Source organism: Homo sapiens, chromosome 17, assembly GCF_000001405.40.
Source record: "Homo sapiens chromosome 17, GRCh38.p14 Primary Assembly".
Lineage (NCBI taxonomy): Eukaryota > Metazoa > Chordata > Mammalia > Primates > Hominidae > Homo > Homo sapiens.
The window spans coordinates 59,873,450-59,892,664 of NC_000017.11; the positions used below are offsets into that span (position 1 = coordinate 59,873,450).

Consider the following 19,215-nt stretch of genomic DNA (forward strand, 5'->3'; position numbering starts at 1 on the left):
CATGTTGCCCAGACTGGTCTCGAACTCCTGGGCTCAAGCGCTTCTCCTGCCTTGGCCTCCCAAAGTGCTAGGATTATAGGTATGAGCCACCATACCTGGCCCATTACTTGACCTTTTAAAAAACTGAGATATAGGCCGGGCGCAGTGGCTCATACCTGTAATCCCAGCACTTTGGGAGGTCGAGGTGGGTGGATCACAAGGTCAGGAGTTCGAGACCAGCCTGGCCAATATGGTGAAACCTCATCTCTACTAAAAATACAAAAAAATTAGCCAGGCATGGTAGCACACGCCTGTAATCCCAGCTCCTTGGGAGGCTGAGGCAGAAGAACTGCTTGAATCCGGGAGGCAGAGGTTGCAGTGAGCCGAGATCGCGCCACTGCACTCCAGCCTGGGTGACAGAGCGAGATTCCATCTCAAAAAAATAAAATAAATAAAAAATAAAATACTGAGATATAATTGGCCGGGCACGGTGGCTCACTCTTGTAATCCCAGCACTTTGGGAGGCCAAGACGGGTGGATCACGAGGTCAGGAGATTGAGACCATCCTGGCTAACACGGTGAAACCCCGTCTCTACTAAAAATACAAAAAATTAGCCGGGCGTGGTGGCAGGCGCCTGTAGTCCCAGCTACTCGGCAGGCTGAGGCAGGAGAATGGTGTGAACCCGGGAGGCGGAGGTTGCAGTGAGCTGAGATCACGCCACTGCACTCCAGCCTGGGCGACAGAGCAAGACTCAGTCTCAAAAAAAAAAAAAAAAAAAAATTGAGATATAATTTAAATACAGTGCAATGTATGGATTTAAGTATATATTTAAATGAGTTTTGGCTACTTGATTTTTAAAACTATGTTCACTTATTTGATTAAAATAAAAATTTAAAAAAAATCTGGCACTCATTTGAAATGTCTTTTGGTAATGAAACTGTGAAGTGATTAAGAAACCCTCCTAAGATGTCCTGGTGAGTTTCTGCCGGAGTCTCTCTAGCCAGAAAAAGGGACCATTATTTAAACTGGTCCAAGCCAGTTTATATTGAGACTCCAGGACAGACATTTTTTCCAGCTTGTGGGCTGCATATTTTTGGACTACTCTTTACCTTCTTCCATCTTTGCATTAGAAATGAGCATCTGTCTCAAATGCTTGAGGAGGCCAGCCCAAGTAAATGTGGTGTATGCCAATGAATTCTCAGACATGTGAGGAATGTTACGAACACTCAGCATCTTGAATTCAGGATGGGGAACTAAATGCTCCATTAAGTCTCCTGTAAAGAAAAAAAAATCTGAACTAATTTTTTTTTATTCTACATTGTTGCCAATAGTCTATATATAACCATGATTTGAAGGTTTTCTGGGCCAAATGTTTTTTCTCTTCTCAGACCAGAATTATTTAATCTTTAATATAAATACAATTTCAGAGACAATGTCTATTACACACCACCTCTTTGCTTCATTTTAGCACTGACTTGAGCATGAGTGAGAAAATACACTTTGCCAAAAAGCAAACTACAATTTAGAAGCTGAATAACTGGAAATGTGAATGAAATATTTAGGTAAACTCCAGGCAAACAAAGTAAACATGAGAACTGATATGCTTTTCTTGTCATTCTATGTTCACTAAATATTGTTATATTCTTTTTTTTTTTTTTTTTTTTTGGGATGGAGTCTTGTTCTGTCGCCAGGCTGGAGGAGTGCAGTGGCGTGATCTCGGCTCACTGCAACCTCTGCCTCCCACGATCAAGCGATTCCCGTCTCAGCCTCCTGAGTAGCTGAGACTACAGGCACGTACCACCAAGCCCAGCTAACTTTTTGTACTTTAGTAGAGATGAGGTTTCACCATGGTGGCCAGGATGGTCTCGATCCCCTGATCTCATGATCTGCCTGCCTTGGCCTCCCAAAGTACTGGGATTACAGGTGTGAGCCACCGCACCCACCCTACTAAATACTCTTTTAGAAATGTTACTAGATTTTTACATACCGTATCTGGTTAGGTGATAATCAAACCCTGTTAACATGAAAGTTAATATAAGCCAGGCACGGTGGCTCACGCCTGTAATCCCAGCACTTTCGGAGGCCTAGGTGGGCAGATCATGAGGTCAGGAGTTTAAGACCAGCCTGGCCAACATGGTCTTGGTCTTAATAGAAACACTGTTTCTATTAAAAATATGAAAATTAGCCAGGCGTTGTGGCAGGCACCTGTAATCCCAGCTACTTGGGAGGCTGAGGCGGGAGAATCGCTTGAACCCGGCAGACAGAGGTTGCAGTGCATCGCACTCCAGCCTGGGCGACAAAGCAAGACTCTGTCTCAAAAAAAAAAAAAAGTTAACATGAAACTCTATTTGGAAAGAAGACAAGATTAGATATTCCTTAAGATAGGAATGTGCCTATCTTTAGAAACTTGTATTTACAATGAAATAGAATTAAGGAGAAAGGGTACTTTCCTTTACATTTACAGCTGTCTCATATGTTTATAGAAAATACCTTGAGGATAGGGAAAAATATATTACCATAATATGAAACAAACTTTATAACACTGAGTACAAACTCATAATGTACATCCTAAAGAAAAGAACAAATTTTGACACAAACATCTATAAGATGCTACACAGGCGGGCTTGTGCTAATGGAGTGTCCTCTAAATGTAGAATTCTTTTCTGTAAAATACCTAGAGTTGAATTCTATTGCATAGCACAAGTAAATATAGAATAGTCAGAAAATAATTCATGAGCACTAAGGCATGAATTCTTTTTTTTTTCTTTTTAGACAGTGTTTTGTTCTGTTGTCCAAACTGGTGTGCAGTGGCGCAATCAAAGCTCTGCAACCTCGAACTCCCAGGCTTAAGCAATAGCCCCACTTCAGCTTCCCTAGTAGCTGAGATTATAGGTGCACACCACCATGCCTAACTGTTTGTTTTTTTTTTGTTTTTTTTTTTTTGAGATGGAGTTTCGCTCTTATTGCTCAGGCTGGAGTGCATTGCATGACCTCAGCTCACTGCAACCTCTGCCTCCCAGGTTCAAGCAATTCTCCTGCCTCTGCCTCCCAAGTAGCTGGGATTACAGGCATGTGCCACCATGCCTGGCTAATTTTGTATTTTTTTTAGTAGAGACAGTGTTTCGCCATGTTACTTAGGCTAGTCTCGAACTCCCAACCTCAGGTGATCTGTCCGTCTTGGCCTCCCAAAGTGCTGGGATTACAGGCATGAGCCACCACACCCGGCCACTTTTTAAATTCTTAGTAGAGATGAGGTCTTGCTATGCTGCTCAGGCTGGCTTCGAACTCCTGGCCTCAAGCGATCTTCCCACCCTGGCCTCCTAAAGCACTGGGATTACAGAAGTGAGCCATGGTGCCCGGCCAATGCATGAATCACTAATTGTTGCAATCTGTTCTCCCTTCCAGCTTTCTTGTTCAGCTACTCTTACCTTAACCATTCTTTTTTTTTTTTTTAAATGGAGTCTCGCTGTCGCCCAGGCAGGAGTGCAGTGGTGCAATCTTAGCTGACTGCAACGTCTGCCTTATGGGTTCAAGCAATTCTCCTGCCTGTCTTCTGAGTAGCTGGGATTACAGGTACCCACCACCATGCCTGGCTAATTTTTGTATTTTCTGTAGAGCTGGGGTTTCACCGTATTGGCCAGGCTGGTCTCAAACTTCTGACCTCAGGTGATCCACCCTCCTCAGCCTCCCAACGTGCTGGGATACAGGCGTGAGCCACCACGCCTGGCCACCTTGACCATTCTTAAACCTCCTTGAGACTTTAATCCATGGAGCACCTGCCTTTCAATCAATCAGTCTTCCTCTTTCTGGCAAAATCCCAGTCTTCGGCCAACCCTGCTCCTCACCTTCTCTGTCAGAGCACAACTACGGAAAGTCATGCCACATGGCAGACTCGGACCTCTTTGAATTCCCAATCACCAAACACAATGCTGACGCGCACATTGACAACTCTGGATGAGATGGGAAACCTCAGGAAGGTTCTGAAAAGGGGAGCAACAGGATCTGACTTATGCTTTTAAAAACTGCAAAGCCAGAGTTCAGTCTGGCTGCTGTACTTAAGAAAAGGCTAGGGCCGGGTGCGGTGGCTCACGCCTGTAATCCCAACACTTTGGAAGGCCGAGGCGGGTGGATCATTTGAGACCAGCCTGGCCAACATGGTGAAACTCCGTCTCTACTAAAAATACAAAAATCAGCTGGGCATGGTAGCACGTGCCTATAGTGTAGTGTAGTCCCAGCTACTCAGGAGGCTGAAATAGGAAAATTGCTTGAACCCAGGAGGCAGAGGTTGCAGTGAGTCAAGATCGTACCACTGCACTCCAGCCTGGGCAACAGAGTGAGACTCTGTCTCAAAAAAAAAAAAAAAATCATTGACTTGCACACTTTAAATGGGTGAATTGCATGTTAGGTGAGTTATATCTCAACATGGTTTCTATTAAAAAAAGAAAAAAAAGAAGAGAAAGAATCCTGAAGAGCAGTGGATACCCACTGCCCTTTAGCAACTTCTCAAAGCTTTTCAATAAGACAGTTCAGAGAACTAGCAGATGTGAAGAAAGGGTTTTGAGATGAGCAAGACTTAAGTGTATCTTCAGGCAGAGGAGGAGACAGAAAGAATAAACTTTGAAGCTTTCAGAACATAAGGCTTTCCTATAATTAACGTATAGAGGGACAAATACCTAGTGGATTTCGTCTGTAGTGAAATGAGCTTTCTGCAGAATAAGTAGGCTGGAACACACTTCCCAGCTGATGTGCGAGGACTTGATTGATATCACTAAAGGAGATCTGCTTGATATTCATCAGTTTTGCACAGATCTTATGGATGGCATCATTCTCATGAAGAAGGAGGGCGTCTGAAGATCGGTACAAGTGAGAAAGTGTCAAAATGGAGTTGTAGTTTTGAACAATAACCTGGAGAGGAAAAGGTCAGAAAAAAGAAAGGTAGGAGAGAATAATGGTTAAGATTACAGATTCTCAAGGCATCCTGGCAGGGTTCAAATCCGGGCTCTGTCACTTTCTAGCCGTATGACCTTGGACAAGTTTTTTAATCTCTATGCTCAGTTTCCTTTTTTTTTTTTTTTTTGAGATAGAGACTCTGTCGCCCAGGCTGGAGTACAGTGGCACCATCTCTGCTCACTGCAACCTCGGCCTCCCGGTTCGAGATTCTTGTGTCTCAGCCCCGAGCAGCTGGAATTACAGGCTTGTGCCACCATGCCCAGCTAATTTTTGTGTTTTTAGTAGAGACAGGGTTTCACCATGTTGGCCAGGCTGGTCTCAAACTCCTGGCCTCAAGTGATCCACCCCCTTGTCCTCCTAAAGTGCTGGGATTATAGGCGTGAGCCACCGAGCCCAACCAGTTTCCTCATTTGTAATGGCTTCCTAGAACTGTAAGGATTAATGATATAATGCAAGTTAAACACTTAGAACAATGCCTTGTATGGGCACAACAAAAATTGGCCATTATTATCATACTTATCTCCTATTTCATTTCCTATAGTGACTTGTCTCACCTGATTTGTTTCTTCAGCTAGGTTGATCAACAGGAAATTGGCTTATATAGAAATTTTCAAGCTGGGAGCGGTAGCTCATGCCTGTAATCCCAGCACTTTGGGAGGCTGAGGTGGGTGGATCACCTGATGTTGAGGGTTCAAGACCAGCCTGACCAACATGGAAAAACCCCCCACCTCTACTAAAAATACAAAATTAGCCGAGCGCATGCCTGTAGTCCCAGCTACCCGGGAGGCTGATGCAGGAGAATCACTTGAACCCGGGAGGCGGAGGTTGCGGTGAGCCAAGATCGTGCCATTGCACTCCAGCCTGGACAACAAGAGCAAAACTCTGTCTCAAAAAAAAAAAAAAAAAGGAAAGAAATTTTCTCCCAATGGAAAGAAATAAAAATTACTTGAGGGTGGCAATGGCACCATGAATCCCAACATGAGGTCAAGGTGTCTGCTTTATGTACTGGAGTGAGAGACATTCTCAGCAATCAGTTCCTGAAAGAAGCACAATCATCTTCTCTGACTTTTTTTTGAAACAGAGTCTTGCTCTGTGGCCCAGGCTGGAGTACAGTGACATGATCTAGGCTCAATGCAACCTCTGCTTCACAGGTTCAAGTGATTCTCCTGCCTCAGCCTCCCGAGTAGCTGGGACAACAGGCAGGAGCCAAAACACCTGGCTAATTTTTGTATTTTTAGTAGAGAAGGGGTTTCGCCATGTTGGCCAGGCTGGTCTTAAACTCCTGGCCTCAAGTGATCTGCCCATCTCAGCCTCCCAAAGTGCTGGTATTACAGAAGTGAGCCCCAACTGCCTGGCCATTCTCTGAAAAAAAATTTTTCTTTTTTTTTTTAAGACGGGAGTCTTGCTCTTGTTGCCCAGGCTGAAGTGTAGTGGCTTGATCTCGGCTCACTGGAACCTCTGTCTCCCGGGTTCAAGAGATTCTCCTGCCTCAGCCTCCAGGTACCTGGGACTACAGGTGTGTGCCACCACACCCAGCTAATAATTGTATTTCTAGCAGAGATGGTGTTTCTCCATGTTGGCCAGGGTGATCTCGAACTTCTGACCTCAGGTGATCCATCCGCCTCGGCCTCCCAAAGTGCTGGGATTACAGGTGTGAGCCACTGCGCCCAGCCATTCTCTTAAAAAAATTTTTTTTTGAGATGGAGTCTCGCTCTGTCGCCAGGCTGGAGTGCAGTGGCGGGATATCAGCTCACTGCAGCCTCTGCCTCCCAAGTTCAAGCGAAATCTCCTGCCTCAACCTCCTGAGTAGCTGAGACTACAGGCCAGCGCCACCATGCCCAGCTAATTTTTGTATTTTTAGTAGAAACGGGGTTTCACCATGTTGGCCAGGATGGTCTCGATCTCTTGACCTCATGATTTTTCCACCTTGGCTTCCCAAAGTGCTGGGATTACAGGCGTGAGCCACTGCACCCAGCCTCTCTGAAATTTTAAATGCAAGGATACCTCATCTGTTTGGAAAAGTTTAAGGGAAGATATATATATACCATATATAATATGGTACTCATATTAAATAACCATTCTGGAAGCCATAACTTAACATTTCCAATGAAAGGGTGAGCACAATCTTTATTTTTATTTATTTATTTTTTTTTGAGACGGAGTCTTGCTCTATTGCCCAGGCTGGAGTACGGTAGCGCGATCTTGGCTCACTGCAAGCTCCGCCTCATGGGTTCACGCTATACTCCTGCCTCAGCCTCCCGAGTAGCTGGGACTAGAGGCGCCCGCCACCACGCCTGGCTAATTTTTTGTATTGTTAGTAGAGACGGGGTTTCACCATGTTAGCCGGGATGGTCTCGATATCCTGACCTCACGATCCGCCCGCCTTGGCCTCCCAAAGTGCTGGGATTACAGGCATAAGCCACCGCACCTGGGTGGTGAGAGCAATCTTTTACCCATATTTATTTCTATTGCAAAGAACATAAAACATAAACTTTTCAATTAACATGTCCATACCTCACCAGTTCCATAAGGCCAAATAATCTGATTCATTTTCAATGAGTTTGAGTACTGATCTTCTAAATTCTGTGTAACGAAAGCTCCTAATCCTGATCCTGTGCCCCCAGCCATACTCATTATGATGAAAAAACCACTGAAAGAGTCACATTTCTCCACTTCCTTCCGGATTATGTTCATTATAGATTCTTCATGCCTGGGTCCATGAACAGAGTAACTATGCAATGGCAAAAGAAACAAACACAAACACTTTTCAATTTAACCACAGATATGTAATTCAGAGAGAAAGATACAGGATAGAGAGGTTTTTTCAAAACTACGGAAGTGAAGGAACTCTCATGAAAGGTACAGGTACCCTGACTGACAAAATTTTAAATACATAAGTTGAATATATTTAACCCACTTATGCCTAGTGTTCCATTATTGGAACGCTAAGCATGTGGGAGTTATTTATATCCTATTGCTCAAGGTTATTGCTAAGGTCGGATTTTTCACTCATGCAAAAATTTAAAAAATTGCAACCTCTGGCATAAATGGGTTAACAGGCGAACAGGACTGCTAGCAGAGGGAATTTACAGAGTATAGAAAGTTCTCTTTATTTTTGAGGTTTTAATCAGATACTTTAATATTTGGGGTTTTCATAGCTGTACTTATTTTGGGGGTACATGTGATATTTGGATATGTGTATACATGTGTAATGATCAAATCAGGGTAAATGGGATATCTATCACCTCAAACATTTATTTTTTCTATGTGTTGGGAACATTACAATTCTTCTCTTTAAGCTATTTTCTTTTTCTGAGACAGAGTTTCACTCTTGTCACCAGGGCTGGAGTACAATGGCGCGATCTCGGCTCACTCCCCCTCCCGGGTTCAAGAGATTCTCCTGTCTCAGCCTCCTGAGTAGCTGGGATTACAGATGCCCGAACCACACCAGGCTAATTTTTGTATTTTTAGTAGAGACGGGGTTTCACCATGTTGGCCAGGCTGGTCTCAAACTCCTGAACTCAGATGATCAGCCTGCCTCAACCTCCCAAAGTGCTAAGATTAGAGGTGTGAGCCACTGCGCCTGGCCGCTTTTACTATTTTGATATATACAATAAATTATTGTTAACTATAATTTCCTAACTGTATTATTGAATACTAGAGTGTATTTCTTCTAACTGTATTTTTGTACCCATTAGCAACTTCTTTTTTTTTTTTAAACAGGGTCTCACTATGCTGCCCAGGCTGGTTGTGAACTCCTGGCCTCAAGCAATTCTCCTGCCTCAGTCTCCCAAAGCGCTGGAATTACAGGCATGAGCCACTGAGCCCAGTGAGCAACTTCTTTTAATCTTCCTCTAAAAGCTCTCTTTTGTAGGCTATTTTCTCCTTTTTTATTTTTTTTGTTTTTGTTTTTGTGTTTTTTGAGGCGGAGTCTCGCTCTGTCGCCCAGGCTGGGGTGCAGTGGCACCATTTCAGCTCACTAAAACTACCTCCGCCTCCCAGGTTCAAGTGATTCTCCCACCTCAGTCTCCCGAGTAGCTGGGATTAAAGGTGCGCGCCACCACACCCGGCTGATTTTTGTATTTTTAGTACAGACAGGGTTTCACCATGTTGGCCAGGCTGGTTTCAAACTCCTGACCTCAAATGATCTGCCCACTTCAGCCTCCCAAAGTGTTGGGATTACAGGTATTAGCCACGGCACCTGGCACCCCCCATCCCACATCTTTTTTCCTTTTTGAGTTAGGGTCTTACTCCGTCACCCAGGCTGGAGTGAAATGTGAAGTGCAGTGGCAAAATCACAGCTCACTGCAGCCTTGTCTTGACCTCTCAGGCTCAAAAAATTATCCCATCTCAGCCTCCCAAGTATCTAGAACTACAAGAGCATGTAACCATCCCTGGCTAATTTCTTTCTTTTTTTTTTTTTGAGATGCAGACACGCCCTGTTGTCCAGGCTGGAGTGCTGTGGCATGATCTCTACTCACTGCAACCTCTGCCACTTGGGTTCAAGTGATTCTCCTGCCTTAGCTTCCCGAGTAGCTGGGACCACAGGCACAGGCCGCCACGCCCAGCTAATTTTTGTATTTTTAGTAGAGACAGGGTTTCACCATGTTGGCCAGGCTGGTCTCAAAGTCCTGACCTCAAGTAATCCGCCCTCCTTGGCCTCCCAAACTGCTGGGATCACAAGCGAGAGCCACCATACCCAGCCGCCCGGCTAATTTCTTTTTTCTTTTTTTTGAGGCAGAGTCTCACTCTGTTGCCCAAGCTGGAGTGCCGTGGCACAATCTCGGCTCACTGCAACCTCTGCCTCCCAGGTTCAAGTGATTCTTCTGCCTCAGCCTCCCAAGGAGCTAAGGCCACAGGCACAGGCCACCACACCCATCTAATTTTTTTTTTTTTTAATATTTTTTGAGATGGAGTTTTGTTCTTGTTGCCCAGGCTGGAGTGCAATGGTGTGACCTTGGCTCACTGCAACCTCTGCCTCCTGGGTTCAAGCGATTCTCCTGCCTCAGCCTCCCGAGTAGCTGGGATGGCAGCCATCACCACGCCCAGCTAATTTTTTCTATTTTTTAGTAGAAACAGGGTTTTACCATGTTGGCCAGGCTGGTCTCAAACTCCTTTCCTCAGATGATCTGCCCACCTCGGCCTCTCGCAAAGTGCTGGGATGACAGGCGTGAGCCACTGCAACAGGCCTAATTTTTGTATTTTTAGTAGAGATGGGGTTTCATCATGTTGGCCAGGCTGGTCTCAAACTCCTGACCTCAAGTGATCCACCTTGGCCTCCCAAAGTGTTGGGATTACAGGCGTGAGCCACTGTGCCTGGCCTCACCTGGCTAATTTCTTTTTAAAATTTTTTCGTAGCGATAGGGCCTCCCTTTGTTGCCTAGGGTGGACTTGAACTCCTGGGCTCAAGCGATCCTCCTGCCTTGGCCTCCCAAATTGCTGGGATTACAGGCATGAGTAGTGGCCATTCCTTTACCTGGTAGGTACCAGGTAGTTCTACAAGTTTTGATACCAGGTAGTTCTACAAGTTTATGATACAGTATAACATTTAATATTCCTAACAGTCCTGAAACAGTGGTTCTCAAACTGTGCTGCACATGGCTGGGCACAGTGGCTCATGCCTGTAATCCTAGCACTTTGGGAGGCGGAGGTGGGTGGATCATTTGAAGTTAGGAGTTTGAGAGCAGCCTGGCCAACATAGGGAAATCCAGTATCTACTAAAAATACAAAAATTAGCCGGGCGTGGTGGCATGTGCCTGTAGTCCTACCTACTCGGGAGACTGAGGCAGGAGAATCACTTGAACCCGGGAGGCAGAGGTTGCAGTGAGCCGAAATTGCACCACTGCACTCCAACCTGGGCAACAGAGCAAGACTCTTGTCTTAAAAAAAAAAAAAAAAAATTTTGCTGCACATTAAAGTCACCTAGGGACCTTTAAAAAATCCCAACATCAGGCCAGGCGCAGTGACTCACGCCTGTAATCCCAGCATTTTGGGAGGCCAAGGCGGGTGGATCACCTGAGGTCAAGAGTTCCAGACCAGCCTGGCCAAACTGGTGAAACCCCGTCTCTACTAAAAAATACAAAAATTAGCTGGGCATGGTGGCAGGTACCTGTAATTCCAGCTACTCGGGAAGCTGAGGCAGGAGAATCACTTGAACCTGGGAGGCAGAGGTTGCAGTGAGCTGAGATTGCGCCACTGCACTCCAGCCTGGGCGACAGAGCGAGACTCCGTCTCAAAAAAATAAAAAATCCCAACATCAGGCTGGGTGCAGTGGCTCATACCTGTAATCTCAGCACTTTGGGAGGCCGAGGCAGGTGGATCACTGGAGGCCAGGAGTTCCAGACCAGTCTGGGTAACATGCTGAATCCTTGTCTCTACTAAAAAAATACAAAAATTAGCTGGGCATAGTGGTGCACACCTGTAGTCTCAGTTACTCAGAAGGCTGAGGCAGGATAATTGCTTGAACCCAGGAGATGGAGGTTGCACTGAGTCGAGATCATGCCACTGCACTCCAGCCTGGGTGACAGAACGAGACTCTGTCTCTTAAAAAAAAAAACACCAAAAACCCAACATCAGGGCTTTACCCCAAACCACTTAAATCAGAATCTCAGCAGAAGGGAAATGTGAAGGTGAAGATGGCAGTGGCCAGGGCCAGGGTCCTGGGAGTCCAGTGGATGCAAAGGGCATCCCAGAAAGTGGTGCCGCTGGGCGCAAGGACAGCCTCCCGCATAACCAATGACATGCTCTCAGGGTCCTATCCTAGGACGCCAAAAGGACAGGCCACTGCCCTCAAGAAGTATAACATGTGTGTGGGAGACTACGAGCCTTACCCGGATGATGACATGGGGTATGGCGACTACCCAAAGCTCCCTGCATGAGAGGGATCCATGGTATAGCTGGGACCAGCTGGACCTGAGATTGAACTGGGGTGAACCGATGCACTGGCAGCTAGACATGTATACCAGGAATATGTCCCCCACACCTGTTTCTTGGAATGTCATGTGTATGCAGCTGTTCGGCTTCATGGCTCTCATGATATTCATGTTCTGGGTGGGGGATATGTACCCTGTCTACCAGCCCGTGGGACCAAAGCAGTATCCTTACAATAATCTGTACCTGGAACGAGGCGGTGATCCCTCCAAAGAACCTGAGTCGGTGGTTCACTACTAGATCTGAGGAGGCTTCGTGGGCTTTTGTGCCCTCTAACTAGGATTCCCTCATTCCTAGAAATTTAACCTTAATGAAATCCCTAATAAAACTCAGTGCTGTGGTTAAAAAAACAAAACAAAACAAAACAAAAATCAGAATCTCTCAAAGTGAGCCCTAGGCATCAGGACTTTTCCAAAGAACCTCAGGAAATTCTAATGTGCAGCAAAGTTTGGGAACTACTGTCTTGTAGTATTCTCTATCATTGAGATATCTGCCAGATATGGACATTACATTGGTAAGTTAGTTTGCAGCATGACAGTGAGAAGATGGAAAACCCTGCTGAAAGATATCCTTCATTTCAACATTACCTGTACCTTAAGTACAGACATAGGCATGGAATGAAAGTTTCTTCTGGGTAAAATAAAATTCTAAATCTAAAACAGCAATTTCAAGATTATGTGCTTGGTATATCAACTATACAGTTCTAACTTTGCTATCTATTAATTGACTGTGTAGCTGTCACTAAACTGAAAATCACAAGAAATTATTCTTACCCATATGCCCAGTTGTTTCCAGAACCTTGTTTTTGACAGAAGCATGCATGTTGACCATATTTCCATTGGCCAGACTGGGCAGCCTTTGACAGCATTTGATTGATAACTTTGGGTTCCATGTCAACAAGAACAGCCCGGGCAATTGGAACTAGAGGGGGAAAAAAACCCAAAAACATCGAAAGAAAAAAAGATTTATTATGTCTTATTTGGGTAACTCAGAGCATCTAAGTGTCCAAATCCAAAAAAAAAAAAAAAATTCCAGGGGTTGTGGTTAGAAAGATCTGTCGTACTGCTTAGAAATCTCAGTGGGCAGCAGCAGGCATATGCAGATGTTCACCAAGCCCAGCATTTGCTAAGCAGGCTGAATCAGTGTGGGCCTAAAAGAGTACCTGGGTCAGATTAGCCGGCGTGGTGGCATGTGCCTGTAATTCCAGCTACTCGGGAGGCTGAGGCAGGAGAACTGCTTGAACCTGGAAGGCGGAGGTTGCACTGAGCCAAGGTTGCACCACTGCACTCCAGCCTGGGAGACAGAGTGAGATTCTGTCTCAAAAAAAAAAAAAAAAAAAAAAAAAAGAGTACCTGGGTCAGGTCTACAAACATATGCTGAATGCTTATGATGTGCCATGGACTGTGCTGGGAATTTGGAGATGAAGACATCAAACTAGCCTTAGAAAGGGCAGGTGGGAGGCTGGGCGTGGTGGCTCATGCCTGTAATCCCAGCATTTTGGGAGGCTGAGGCAGGTGGATCACTTGAGGCCAGGAGTTGGAGACCAGCCTGGCCAACATGGTGAAATCCCGATCCTACTAAAAATACAAAATTGGCCAGGTGCGGTGGCTCACACCTGTAATCCCAGCACTTTGGGAGGCCGAGGCGGGCGGATCATCTGAGGTCAGGAGTTCAAGACCAAACTGGCCAACATGGTGAAAACCCATCTCTACTAAAAATACAAAAAATTAGCTGGGCGTGGTGGCAGGCTCCTGTAATCCCAGCTACTCCGGAGGCTGAGGCAGGAGAATTGCTTGATCCCGGGAGGTGGAGGTTGCAGTGAGCCAAGATTGAGCCATTGCACTCCAGCCTGAGCAATAAAAGCAAAACACTGTCTCAAAACAAACAAACAAACAAAAAACAAAAATACAAAATTAGCAAGACTTGGTGGCGTGTGCCTGTAATCTCAGCTACTCAGGAGGCTGAGGCACGAGAATTGCTTGAACCCAGGAGGCAGAGGTTGCAATGAGCTGCAATCACACCACTGTGCTCCAGCTTGGGCAAGAGTGAGACTCTGTCTCAAAAAAAAAAAAAGACTTGTGGGAAAGATAAATACATCAATACTTAATCACACTGCAACGTGATATGACCAAATAAATCCACACCAAAGGAACATCATATTTAGAGGTACAAAGTACCATGGGTACAACATCCAGCTCAGAATTGTTGGAGCAGAGGATGGAGAAGGAGAGGGTAGAAGTGATGGATGGGGATGAAAAGCAGGTAGGGCTCAATCTTGGAAATCTTTATAGGCAATGCTAGAAAAGCCTGAACTTTATCTTTTAGGCCATGATTAACCACCAAAAATTTTCAAGCAGGCGAGGAATAGTTAAATGTCTGTCAATCATAATTCACTGCAGCCTCAAACTCTTGAGCTCAAGCAATCCTCCCACTTTGGCCTTCTAAGTAGCTGGGACTTCAGGTGTGTGCCATTACACCTAACTAATTTTTATTGTTTTTTTTTCTAGAGACAGAATCTTGCTCTATTGCCCAGGCTGGTCTTGAATTCCTGGCCTCAAGCAATCCTCCCACCTTGGTCTCCCAAAACACTGGAATTACAGTGAGACACTGTGCCCAGCTGTTAGATGTCTTTTTTTTTTTTTTGAGATGGAGTCTCGCTCTGTCCCGCAGGCTGGAGTGCAGTGGTGCGATCTCAGCTCACTGCAAGCTCCGCCTCCTGGGTTCACGCCATTCTCCTGCCTCAGCATCCCAAGTAGCTGGGACTACAGGCACCCGCCACCACGCCTGGCTAATTTTTTTGTATTTTTAGTAGAGACGGGATTTTACTGTGTTAGCCAGGATGGTCTCGATCTCCTGACCTCATGATTCGCCCGCCTCGACCTCCCAAAGTGCTGGGATTATAGGCATGAGCCACTGCACCCGGCCGATGTCTTTTTAAACACAGCAGTACGGAGGATGGATGTGATAGACAGTAGACTCCAGGCAAGGAATCCTAAAAGGAGTGTCTTGAGACAGTCCAGGTAAGAAAGAACAAAAGCCAGACTAAAGCAAGTCAGTGAAGGTGGAAAGGGAAGAACAGTTTCAAGGAGTATATAGGAGGTCAAATAAGCAGATCTTGTTTGATGGTATGTATGCAGCAAGAGCACAAGGAACAATAATGAATGCCTTGGGAATAGAGATGTTGAGTTTCAGGTTCATATGAGAGATGTGGGTGGAGATATCCACTAATCTGTCTAGAGCTTTTAAGAGAGGCTGGGCTAGAGGTCTGAAAGTCACAGGTGTAATAAATGTAGCAAACTATGACAGTGAAGTTGCCCAGAGAGAACTATGCAAGTGAGGACAGGGGAGATGCAACAACTGGAGAAGAAAAGTGGGGTGACTAGGAGAAGGAGGTTCAAGGAGAGAGTTGTTTTTTGTCTTTTTTTTTTCTTTTTTGAGACGGAGTTTCGCTCTTGTCACCTAGGCTGGAGTACAATGGCACACTCTCCGACTCCCGGGTTCAAGCGATTCTCCTGCCTCAGCCTCCCAAGTAGCTGGGATTACAGGCACGCACCACTACGCTCGGCTAATTTTTGTATTTTTAGTACAGATGGGGTTTCACCACGTTGGCCAGGCTGGTCTCGAACTCCTGACCTCAGGTGATTCACCCACCTCGGCCTCCCAAAGTGTTGGGATTACAGGGATGAGCCACCATGCCTGGCTTTTTTTTTTTTTTTTTTTTTTTGAGACGGCATCTCGCTCTATTTCCCAGGCTGGAGTGCAGTGGCGAGATCTCGGCTCACTGCAACCCCCCTCCCGGGTTCAAGTGATTCTCCTGCCTCACCCTCCCGAATAACTGGGATTACAGGTATGTGCCACCATGTCCGGCTAATTTTTGTATTTTTAGTCGAGACGGGGTTTTACCCTGTTGGCCAGGCTGGTCTCTAACTCCTGACCTCAAGTGATCTGCCTGCCTTGGCCTCCCAAAGTGCTGGGATTATAGGCGTGAGCCACTGCGCCCTGCTGGAAAGAGTTTTTATACGTTACTGTTATCAAACGCAGTAGAGGAGTAAAGTGAATTAAGAAAAGAAAGAGAGGCTGGGCACAGTGGCTCACGCCTGTAATCCCAGCACTTTGGGAAGCTGAGGTGGGCAGATCATTTGAGGTCAGGAGTTCGAGACCAGCCTGACCAACATGGTAAAACCCCATCTCTACTAAAAATACAAAAAAATTAGTTGGGCGTGGTGGCGCATGCCTGTAGTCCCAGCTACTCATGAGGCTGAGGCAGGAGAATTGCTTCAACCTGGTAGTCGGAGGTTGCAGTGAGCCAAGATCGCACCACTGCACTCCAGTCTGGGTGACAGAGCTAGACTCTGTCTCAAAAAAAAAAAAAAAAAAAGAAAAAGAAAAAGAAAGAGAGCCTGTAATCCCATCACTTTGGGAGGCCAAGGCAGGCGGATCACTTGAGATCAGGCATTCGAGACCAGCCTGGCCAACATGGCAAAACCCTGTCTCTACTAAAAATACAAAAATTAGCCAGACATGGTCGTGGGCACCTGTAATTCCAGCTACTTGGGAGGCTGAGGCAGGAGAATTGCTTGAACACGGGAGGTGGAGGTTACAGTGAGCCAAGATCACATCACTGCACTTCAGCCCGGGTGACAGAGCGAGACTCTCTCAAAAAAAAAAAAAAAAAAAAGAGAGACAGAGAAAAGAAAGAGCCAGGCATGGTGGCATGCACCTGCAGTCCCAGCTACTCAGGAGACCTGTGAATAGCCACCGCACTCCAGCTTGGGCAACATAGTGTAGTAAGAACCTGTCTCTACAAGAAAAAGAAAAAAAGAAAAGAAAAACAGTAGTTGGATCTGGTGATTCGGAGGTCACTGGAAACTTTTCTTAGAGCAGCTTCAATGATGCTATGTGGGGCAGAAGCAGGATCATAGGTGGTTAAGCAGGGTCCTTTTATTTTTTTTGGAGATGGAGTCTCGCTCTGTCACCAGGCTGGAGGGCAGTGGTGCGGTCTCGGCTCACTGCAACCTCTGCCTCCTGGGTTCAAGTGATTCTCCTGCCTCAGCCTCCCGAGTAGCTGGGATTACAGGCACATGCCACCACGCCCAGCTAATTTTTGTATTTTTAGTAGAGATGGGGTTTCACCATGTTGGTCAGGCTGGTCTTGAACTCCTGACCTTGTGATCCACTCGCCTCGGCCTCTCAAAGTGCTGGGATTACAGGCGTGAGCCACCACGCCCAGCCAGCAGGGTCCTCTTTTGAGAATCTTAGATGAAAGGCAAAGAGATAAGAAGAAGAAAGCCAGTCAATAGATGAGTTTTGTTTGGTTGGTTTTAAATTGGTGAGATCTGAGCATGCAGAAGGGAAAATGCCACTGGAAAAGCAAAGATTATTAACATAGAAATGAAAAGCAAAAACAAAGTAATTCCCTAGTGAGATGGGAAGGAATGGGGTTTAAAAACCATGTGGAAGGCCTGGCTTTGAAGGGGTTGGTTAGATCAGAGTAAAGGAGAGGACTGTGGGCCACACCTACCTCCATTCTCCTCCTCACTGAAGAATCTTTCTTTGCAAGATGCTTGATATGCCTCATTCTCTCTCATAGAGCAGAGTCCCTGGGAACTGTGTGAGTCACTAAGCAAAGCATCAAAAACTTCAAAACCAATCTGATTGCCACACTGACCAAGTTGCACTGTTACAATTGACATGCTGAGCCACAAACTAGGTGTATTACCTCTAAAAACAACCTGTAATCGAAAAAAATACGCTTTGAGAACCACTACATTACTAATAAGAACAAATAAAATGCCATGTATGTTAATTATACATCAATAAAAAGTCTTTTTTCCCCCCTGAGACGGAGTCTTGTTCTGTCACCCAGGCTAGAGTGCAGTGGCATGTTCTCGGCTTAATGCAACCTCCGCCTCCCAGGTTCAAGCGATTCTCCTGCCTCAGCCTCCCGAGTAGCTGGGATTACAGGCACGTGCCACCACGCCTGGCTAATTTTTGTATTCTTAGTAGAGATGGGGTTTCACCATGTTGGCCAGGTTGGTCTTGAACTCTTGACCTCGTGATCCACCTCCACCTACCTCAGCCTCCCAAAGTGCTGGGATTACAGGCTTGAGCCACCACGCCCGGCCCAAAAAGTCATTTTAAAATGCCACATACGTATATAATATTGGAGATAGAACAGCTGTGTTGTCTAAGGAGCTAGTCATTCAAGGAAGTTCTCATACTCTCTACATGGTTTTGGGATTTGTGATTTACTGTACCTGAATCCATTCATACACAGCTCAATAGTTTCCAAAATCTGATTTGTAATCACTTTTTTCCTAAACATATGTTTAAAACAAAACATTCTCCTCAGTTGAGGAGTGATAAAAGAAAAAAAGAGGCTGGGTGCGTGGCTCACACCTGTAATCCCAGCATTTTGGGAGGCTGAGTTGGGAGAATCACGTGAGCCTGGCTGTTCCAGACCTGGTCAACATGGCAAAACCCTGTTTGTACAAAAAATACAACCATTAGCTTGGCGTGGTGGTGTGCGCCTGCAGTCCCAGCTACTCGGGAGGCTGAGGTGGGAGGATCCCCTGAGCCTGGGAGGTCCAGGCTGCAGTGAGCCAAGATCTTGCCACCGCACTCCAGCCTGGGTGACAAAGTGACATCCTCCTGTCTCCAGAAAAAAAAAAAATTAAAATTAAAAAAATAAAAACAAGACAAAACAAATGCTGATTGAAGAAATTAGTAGTACCACCCTTCACACCACATGAACATGTAGAACACAGAAGTGTGCTCAACATTGTACATTCAATTAACATTAATTTTCTCTCTTCTAAATAATAGCTTACGCTTTCTCCACTAGTCTAGCCTGGTAACTTTAGTAAGACCTGTAAGAAAGATTTTGTGTTTAGCTCAGGTAGGACAGCAAGAAAGATGCAGCTTGGAGAAAGAAAACCAGATGAAATATTAACCGGGCGCAATGGCTCATGCCTGTAATCCCAGTACTTTGGGAGGCCGAGGCGGGAGGATCACCTGAGCCCAGGGATTCCAGACCAGCCTGGGCAACACAGCGAGACCCTGTCTCCATTTGAAAAAGAAAGAAAGCAAAAGAAACATTAGAGCAGTTCCTCATTATTTTTACCTAGGAAAAGACAAGTTTTGATAAAGACTTCACATCAGGTCTATGCAGCACTGGAAATGAGCCGTGGGTTGTGAGACAGACTCTGTGCTTAAAATGTCAAACCGGCAAAGTAGGTTTATTATTATCCTCATTTTACAGATAAGGAAACTGAGGCTCTGAAAGGTTATTGACTTTTCCAAGGCCACAGAACTAGTAAAGAGCAAAGCCAAAAGGTCCCCCGTTCCCCACGGGC

The 19,215-nt window shown here is 45.6% G+C and overlaps 1 protein-coding gene and 1 pseudogene across 11 annotated transcripts in view; one reads left to right on the forward strand and one right to left on the reverse strand.

Annotated features, from left to right (window-relative positions):
* The window catches only part of TUBD1 (tubulin delta 1), a 33,465-nt gene that overhangs the window by 13,971 nt on the left and 279 nt on the right, over positions 1-19,215 (reverse strand). For 4 of the 11 annotated variants that reach the window (XM_011524871.4, XM_017024716.3, NM_016261.4 and 1 more), the window contains exons 2-6: positions 17,382-17,592; positions 12,634-12,781; positions 7,445-7,661; positions 4,654-4,885; positions 1,090-1,254 (exon numbers count right to left, since the gene is read on the reverse strand). In XM_011524871.4, the coding sequence (XP_011523173.1) occupies positions 1,090-1,254; positions 4,654-4,885; positions 7,445-7,661; positions 12,634-12,781; positions 17,382-17,553 (934 nt within the window). In that variant the 5' untranslated portion in view covers positions 17,554-17,592. Of the gene's footprint in view, positions 1-1,089; positions 1,255-4,653; positions 4,886-7,444; positions 7,662-11,211; positions 11,308-12,633; positions 12,784-17,381; positions 17,593-19,215 lie in introns of those variants that run through there. The other 7 variants (NM_001193611.2, XM_047436200.1, NM_001193609.2 and 4 more) reach the window with 5 other exon arrangements.
* Positions 11,549-12,200, forward strand: NDUFB8P2 (NADH:ubiquinone oxidoreductase subunit B8 pseudogene 2; annotated as a pseudogene).